Raw genomic sequence first — 8,517 nt, 5'->3', positions numbered from 1 at the left:
TGTTCCTGCGTGGGCTAGGTGCCTGGGGTTTGTCCTAATCGAGCTGAATAGAGCTATAATACTCACTGCATGGCCCAAGATTCCATTCCTTGGAATCTGTGAGGCCAAGAACCCCAAGCCAGAGAACAAGAGGCTTGCCGCCATCTTGGAAGCAGCCCGCCACCATCTTGGGAGCTCTAAGAACAAGGACCCCTGGTAACAATATGGTACAGAAAAGCTAAATATATTTAGATCTGTTAATAAACAATAATTTGAAGAACTGTCTTTCTAAAAAATTTTAAAATGGTTTTTATTTACAAATATTGATATAAAATAGTTCAAATTACTTAGGTGTGAACCCTGAAAATTTGAGACAGGTCTCAATGTAGAAAGATTATTTTGCCAAGGTTGAGGACGTGTGCCCATGATAGAGCCTCAGGAAGTCCTGATGACATGTGCCCAAGGTGGTTGGGGCACAGTGTAGCTTTATACATTGTAGGGAGACATAATACATCAATCAATATATGTAAGAAGTACATTGGTTCAGCCTGGAAAGGCAGGACAACTTGAAGCAAAGGCAGGCAGACTCAAAGCAGGGAGCAGGCTTCCAGGTTACAGATAGGTGAAAGACAAAGGAACAGTTGCATTCTTTTGAGTTTCTGATTAGGCTTTCCAAAGGAGGCAATAAGATATGCATCTATCTCAGTGAGGCCAGGGATGACTTTGAATAGAATGGGACGCAGATTTGACCTGAGCAGTTTTTGAAGCGGCCCAAGATATTTTTCTTTCACAAAGGTTTTCACTACAAATTAGGGCTACTAAGAGTTCAAATTCTAGTTAATATATGTAATTAAAGATCCTAGATAGGAAAGAAACAATTCTGTATTCAGAGTGTATAAACAAAAGCAAGATATGCTTTTGATAAGAAAAGTTATAAAGTCATAAAAATATGTGTTTGTTAAAAAATTTTGTCTGGTTAGAAGTTACTTAAAGGTTTCAAATTGAAGGAATAAAAAGCAGATAAAGCATGATAAATATAAAAAGTTGGGGGAGGCCAGGTGCGGTGGCTCACGCCTGTAATCCCAGCACTTTCAGAGGCCGAGGCGGGGAGAACATCTGAGGTCGGGAGTTCGAGACCAGCCTGACCAACATGGAGAAACCCCATCTCTGTTAAAAATACAAAATTAACCAGGAGTGGTGGCGCATGCCTGTAATCCCAGCTACTTGGGAGGCTGAGGCAGGAGAATTGCTTGAACCCAGGAGGCAGAGGATGCAGTGAGCCAAGATCATACCATTGCACTCCAGCCTGGGCAACAAGAGCAAAACTCCATTTCAAAAAAAAAAAAAAGTTGGGGAAAATAATATAAAACAAAAAGTTTATGGAAATCTTGTGTGGTTAAAAGACGACAGATTTGATAAATTTACTTATGAGGTTTTGTTAAAATCAGCTTTAGTATTGATAATACACTAATACAAAAGTAAAATTTTGTTTTCTTTTTTGAGCAAAAATTTTATGTAGTATTAATGACAGAGTAAAATATTTGTGTTCAAATAAGAAATTGATGTTAAACCTTCAAGTTGTGTTTTAATAAATGTTATTAATATACATTTAAAAATTATATGGGATTTCTAAAATTCTACCATGTCTGAATATATGCTATCAGTCATAATCATGGTTGTTATGTTAAGTTATTGTAGACCACAGAAATAACAAAATTTCCTTGTCAATTGTATTTTTAACTATGACCATTTTAAGTCATTTTCATAGTTAATTGCTTAATTTTGATGCAGTTTCTGAAATCTTCACAAGCACACAAAATCCTAGAGTATGTCATCTTTAAGGAGGTTCATGAAAGGATAGGAGGTCTTCACTCTTCTAGATGGGCATCACTTGTTAGGTTCTTTATTTCACAGTTTGGAGTAAATGAGGCAATAATTAGAAATGTATTCCTCATGATAGGCTTTATAGCAGATTCTACTTATAAAAGCTGTGGTTACAAAGCAGACTTTAAATTCTCTTGTGAAAGTTATGCTAAATAACAGAATTGCTCTAGATTACTTACTGGCTAAACAGAGAAGTATCTGTACAGTTGTTGGCACTTCTTGTTGCCCATGGAGAAATAAATTGGGTATTATAGAGATTCAGTTGAGGGGATTAACGAATATGCTGTCTAGTTAAAGTGAGTATACTCTTTATCTAGTTCATTCCTTGATCTATTTGATTTTAGTTAGTTTGCTTTACGGGGGCCCTGGCTGAGGAGCATACTCCAAACTCTTGGTATTATCCTCTTGATAGTCATAATAGTAGTCTCCTTGGTGTGCTGTATTATCTCTAAATGTTTGCATGCAGCCACCCCTAGAATGTCAAATGGTGTCTCTTCAACTGGAATGACAACAGCTGAAAGAAATGTGTTACTATGAGGGCATCATAAAGTATGAATAATGTACTAAGACTGAAAACCCAAAATGATGGTAATTGAGAGTGGTGTTAACGCCCTAAATTTTGGTCATACTCTCACCAAAGTAAGAGCCTGAGCAGAGGGGGAAATTTTAAACAAAATTATGGGAGGTCATCGCTTTCAACCGAGCCCTTGCAGTAGGCCCCAACAGACCAGACCAAACCAAAATGGGGCCACTTATGCTAAATGTGACATAATCAAACTAAGACTTTAAGGAAACAGATAGATTCTAGAACAGATCAGGTTTTGTTTTTCTCTTGTAAACAGGACACTGCAGCATAAGGAGGTACCCACTACTCTTACTCTTACAAAAAAAAAAAAAAACATGAAGTCCTTATTCCCACCTTATAAAACCCACTGTTCTGCTATTTCCCAGTGGGTTTTGAGAACAAATAAGTACATTTACAATGGTAATAGTGACACCAGTGACTAAAGTTTTTGTCAGTCTTTCAAAATTGAGAGGATGACCAAAAGAGGGGAATTGTTAAATCATGTTTAGCGTAAAGCTGTCTTCTTATATATTCTAAGTTTGACCTAAAGGTTTCTCTGTACATAGTGAACTATAACCTAAATGGAAGTGTAAATAGACTGTAGCCTACTCTTATGCCAATTTTGAGTTTTGGTCAATCAGAAGGAGCCAACTGTTCAAACTGTGTTCAAATAAGGCAAACAACAAGCTATAACTAATCTGCTTGTTTCTGTACCTTACTTCTGTTTTCTGTTCATCACTTTCCTTTTTCTGTCCACAGATCTTTTTCCACCACATGGCTGCACTGGAGTCTCAGAGCCTACTCTGGCTCAGGAGGCTGCCCGATTCGTGAATGGTTCTTTACTCAATTAAACCCTGTTAAATTTAATTTGGCTAAGGTTTTTCTTTTAACAATTTTATATTTCCAGAAGTAAGAATTGCTCTTATAGAAGAGAAAGACAATATTAGACAACTCTAAAATGTATGTATGTGAGCTCTCTACTGTTAAGACAATAAGGACCTCAGGTAAAAGGATCATGTCTTATTTTTGTCTCTTATTCAAAATAGAATACATGCTGTAACAAACAACCCCTAGATCACAATGGCTTAACAAAAGGTAGGTGTATTTCTTCTTCTTTTTTTTTTTTTTTTGAGATGGCATCTCGCTCTTTCGCCCAGGCCGGACTGCAGTGGCGCTATCTCGGCTCACTGCAAGCTCCACCTCCCGGGTTTATGCCATTCTCCTGCCTCAGCCTCCTGAGTAGCTGGGATTACAGGCACCCACCACCATGCCCAGCTAATTTTTTGGATTTTTAGTAGAGACGGGGTTTCACTGTATTAGCCAAAATGGGTATTTCTTCTTATGTCACAGATAAATTGGCTATTTTGTGGTCAGCTTTTCAAAGACAAATTCAGAATGAGAGGTCCCTTTTTTCTGTGGGTCAGCAACTTCTAGGGTCTTGGAGATGAGTCTTCTACAGCAAGTTTGAAGACAAAAATAGAATAACAGACACTGGATTATCCCTATCTATTCTAAAAATGTTTTCTTCTTCCCAAAAAGAAGAAACTGTTCCTTTCTCTCTTTCTTCTCCTTCTGGTATTTTCATTACATGTAAGTTACATCATTTGTAATTGTCCCACAGTTCTTAGATTTCATATTTTACAGCTCAATTTTTCATTATTTTTTTCTCCTTGCATTTCTGTTATGAAAATTTCCATTGACATACCCTCAAATTCACTTTCTTTTCTTTGTGCTCTACCAATAAGCCCATCAAAGACATTCTTCATTTTTGCATCAGTGGTTTTGATTACTAGCATTTCCTTTGGTTGTTTCTTAGAGTTTTCATCTCTCTGCTTACATTATACATCTGTTCTTGCATGTTGTCCACTTTTTGTGAGCTACCTCGAGTTACCGGTGGCAAGTCCACATGCATCTGCAGCAACTTCAATTCTTGCCTCCTCAGAAGAAAAAATTTGACCGAGGGAAATAAAGCAGAAAAGGAAACCAAGGTAAGTTTCAGAGCAGGAGTGTAAGTTTATTTAAAAAGCTTTAGAATAGGAATGAAAGGAAAGAACCTGTGGAAGAGACCCAAGTGGGCACCTGAAGGTCAAAGAGGGAAAAAACAGGGGGCTTTTAACCTTGATTCAGGGACTTTATAGGCTTGCCTCTTTCCTATGATTCTTTCCTTAGGACGGGTTTTCCACATGCATGGTGCCCTCCTTACCCTTTGGAATTGAGCATGTGCAGTGTGTTTAGGAAGTTATATGCATGCCCATCTGAGGCTTTCTTCCTTTTTCCAGTAGGGTGTACCTGGAAGAGCATACTGCGCCATTTTTGTCTCTTAATGTGCATGCCCAGGAAGTTGCTTCTACCTGGGGCCTGCCTTTAATTAATAGTTAAATGTTAACAGGTGTGGACCATGAGGACCTGGCCTCTCCTTGGTGCTGGCTGCCAATTTATCACTTTTAAACAGGCAATCCAATAATTGCCAAACCATCACCACACATTTCTAGTGGGTGGTGAGGGGAGAGCCCTCTCCTGTCCCACTCATGCCTAACTACCTGTAACAAAAGGAACTGAGGTAAATGGGTCTTTTGTGTGAGGTGTTAGATTTATCTATGTGTTAGGTTGTGTTAATTGTTTCCTACAGCTGTAGATGTCAGAGGCTAAAATTTTCTCTAGTGTCTTTGTTTTCATCTCCTCTGTGGTATTTGGGTTTTCCTAGAGATTTCTTAAATAGACTACAAGCCTTAGAATTCTTTTCAGCTGTAATGCCCTTTTATTATACAGGAACCCTGTTGATGTGGTAGTATGGGGGCACAGGAGAAGCATTCTATTAATATATTCTTACTATTTAGGTCTCAGTGTTTTAATGGGTCTGTGGGTCCCTGGGCTGTGACCTTATTAACTGTTTCTGAGCTTCTTTATATAATACAGGAACATTAGAGTGCACTGGATTTGTATATTTTCCTTCCCTTATATAGCAGGCTAGAGGGAGTTAGAGTTGAGTATCTCTCTTCCCCCACATCAGTTAGACTCTGTTAAAACCCACATTGGATAGGCTCTGGTAAAAATAGTTTCCCTCTAGGGCAGTCCTTTGTTAATGAGAATAGACACTCTGGGGGTATTTCAAAATGGTTACTTTTCCCTTCCCCCTGAGGGAAGCATAAGAAGATTTTTCTCTGATCTTCACCCATGAAACCTGGTCATAAAATTCAGTATGGAGGACCCCAAAGGCTGACTTCCTAGGAGTTTTTCATCTCTCAAATGTCCCCACTGAGTCTACAGCAATTATTCAATTACTCTACCAGTCTTCAGCTGTGGCTTTTGCTCCTGGTAAATTAGAATTAATCTGTATTTATCTTTCTCTCTAATTTTAAGAACTACAGTTTGCCCTGTGACCTCAATTTGCTAATGGATCTAAGGTGAGTTGATTTTCAGTCTGTTTAGCTTTAAAAATGTGTTTCCTTTAAAAATTTCCTGCTGAATAGCAAGCAATTTAAATATTTAATTAAAAACTGTTTGGGGATAAATTTTAAATGTTTATTCATAATTAGTACATTTTGTAAAAAGTAAAGAAAACAAATTAACTCTACAGTAGTTTCTTGAGAGAAAATAGTTCAAAATTCTTGTTTCAATGCATGTAACCTAGTATCCCACAAAGATAGGGTTGATGCAGTTTTTGTCTGCACAATTCATTGTGAACAAGAGACTAGATGTTCCATAATTATTCATCTATTATTTATTAGTGCACTATTTTTTTCCAGAAAAGGATATAGTTGTTTTTTAATTCAAGTAACTGCAAATAGGAAACCAGAGGGAGAGCCCCAGGCTGGGACAAATCATGGCTACCCCTCCTCAACAGAACAGGGGGAGGAGGTGGCCTCTATGCCCTTTTTGGTCAATTCGGGCCCCCTTGCCAGCTCTGCTGCAGCATCCTAGGGGCAGGGCCCCACCTTCCCTGGGACTGGGGTAGTTGGTCACCCAGCCAGCCATGCTCCAGCCCCTCTTCTCCATGAAGAGTATCTTGGGGGATCATGGGCAGAACAGGAGGCAATGAGGATGAACATTTGGCACTGGTAGCAGCAGCAATGACAGATGTCGAAAAATGGAACATTGAACAAAAAACAACACGACTGTCCAGAGGTAGTTTGTGAACAGAGAAAAAAATGGAACCAGAACCTTGGGGGGCAGGGAGGAGCAGGAGGGTTTGGAGCCCGCAGGGTGAGCTCCTTGTTATTGGTGCCCCATCTGAGGAGGGGCAAATGGCCAAGTAGGAGAAGCAAGTAGGGGTGGGGGAGCAGCCCCAGCCCACCTCAGGTGGCGGCCACAGGGCTTGTGGGCCTCACCTGGACAATAAGTGACTGCATTTCCATCACTGCAATAAGTACTCAGATCCCAGGTGGAGGGCAAGGGGGCTGGGGCCACTGCAAAGAGGGAGTAGGGGGCTCACACCCCTCCTGCCTTCCTGTAGCCAAAGGGGGCTATCCAACCTAGTGTAGGGACTAGGGAAGGTGGGGAAGGATGAAAGGTGTGAGCCCCACGTGGTGAGGAAGACAGCTTGGCTGGTAGAATCCTGGGGGCCAGCAGCCCCCTCCATTGGCCACACCTGCTGCTGCCAGGGCAGTGGAGTAGGGCAGGCCAGGATGAGATGGGGCTTGGGCCCCTTTTAAGGCCAGCGGAACCCTCCCAGGCCCCACTGTGGGAAGCCAGAGGGAACAATGGAGGAGCAGAGAGGGCGCCCCCAAACCAAAAGCCCAAAAAGCAATGTCCCCACCACCAAAGGAGTGGGGACGCAGTAGGTGCCGGGTGCGGCTAAGTGGAACGTTAGCCTTGTCCAGGAGGGCACATGTGTATGCGTGGGTGGGCGGGGGGAGCTGGGAACTGAGGCCAGGGGAAAACTGCTCCCCACTCAGCCCATGGGGGCCCTGAAGCTGCTGGTGTGCTGTGTAGTGTGGTGGTGAAGTCGCAGGTGGAAGACAGGGGTGGCGGCTGGAGGCGGTGGTGATGGTGGGCCTGGGGAAGGGACGGGGGCGGTGGGAGCGGAGCAAAGCTGTCCAGTCCCAAAAGGAAGCTGCTCCTCCAGTGAGGAGCAGGCGACACGCAAGCACGGTCATTGCTCCTCCTCCGAGGACTCCTGTGAGATGCCCTCCTCTTCCTCCTTCTCCAGTTTTTTGGGTCTGCCCCTTGGTTTCCTTCCTGGAGTTGTGGTGGTTTTCCAGGTCTTGGCAGCGTCCTTGTTTTTCCTTCCATTTGGTCGGCCCTGAGGTCTCTTAGGTTTTGGCACTTCACTGGGCTCCTTCTGACTCCCTCCCAGCGCTGTCCTGGGACTCACCAGAGGCTGCTTGCGCGGCCTGCCCCAGCTCCGCTTCTCAGTGCCATCCTTTTCCTGCTTGGAGGCCAAGGGCTGGCTGGACTTCGAGATCGACTCGCTCATCTTCCCTTCTCTAAGAAGTAGGTGGAAAAGTGATGGCTAGGAGAGCCTTCTTGGAGCCGTGCCAGCGCCAGAAATAGCCCCGGCTCAGAGTCTCAATTAAAGGAGACTAGTGCACTATTTTTTTTTAAAGCCACTTGACTACATTATTATAGTACCCTAATCAAATTAATCTGACAATTTTTCACATAAGGCAACATCAATTGAAGTTTTTGCTCCAGTCATTTCTAGAAAACATCTGCCTTGTTGGGTGCAGACAACTATTGTGAAATTTAAAAATACCTATACAATTATTGACAGGTATTCAGCTGCAATGTGACGACTTAAAAAAATTATTTTACTTGTGCAACAATTGTGGAAGCAGACTCTGAGACAAAGTTTAGTTTGCAGGATCAAAACCCATGGAAGGGCCGAAAACAAAGCAGGCTTGGGAAGAGAAAAATTTCCGGTTCTGAGGCAGGTCTATCGAGTCTCAATTCATCTCATGGGGGAAATTCTGGAACTATACTGTTTCTTCAGAATTGTCCCTTACGGGCCAGAAGGTTGGACCTTAATGCCTGCATTTGGAGCAGCCATTGGATCTGGGATGCCAGAAATGGGCATGACCTTGAGGGAGGCAGCTGGAACAATACCTGAAAAGACAGAGCAACTAGTGCAACGAGTTCTTCCTTGAAGG

The 8,517-nt window shown here is 42.2% G+C and overlaps 1 pseudogene, besides 1 other annotated feature; it reads right to left on the bottom strand.

Moving 5' to 3' along the window:
• Positions 343-913: an enhancer, noted in NCBI's record as "OCT4-NANOG hESC enhancer chrX:26773077-26773647 (GRCh37/hg19 assembly coordinates)". NCBI's record gives its function as "activates a minimal SCP1, AML or CMV promoter by ChIP-STARR-seq in naive H9 embryonic stem cells {active_cell/tissue: H9 hESC(naive)}" and the evidence as "EXISTENCE:reporter gene assay evidence [ECO:0000049][PMID:30033119]".
• On the bottom strand, positions 6,170-7,949 carry HMGA1P1 (high mobility group AT-hook 1 pseudogene 1; annotated as a pseudogene).

Source organism: Homo sapiens, chromosome X (genome assembly GCF_000001405.40).
Source record: "Homo sapiens chromosome X, GRCh38.p14 Primary Assembly".
In the NCBI taxonomy this organism is placed as follows: Eukaryota; Metazoa; Chordata; class Mammalia; order Primates; family Hominidae; genus Homo; species Homo sapiens.
Note: the sequence above shows the minus strand (reverse complement) of the source record. Positions and strands in the feature narration are given on the sequence as shown.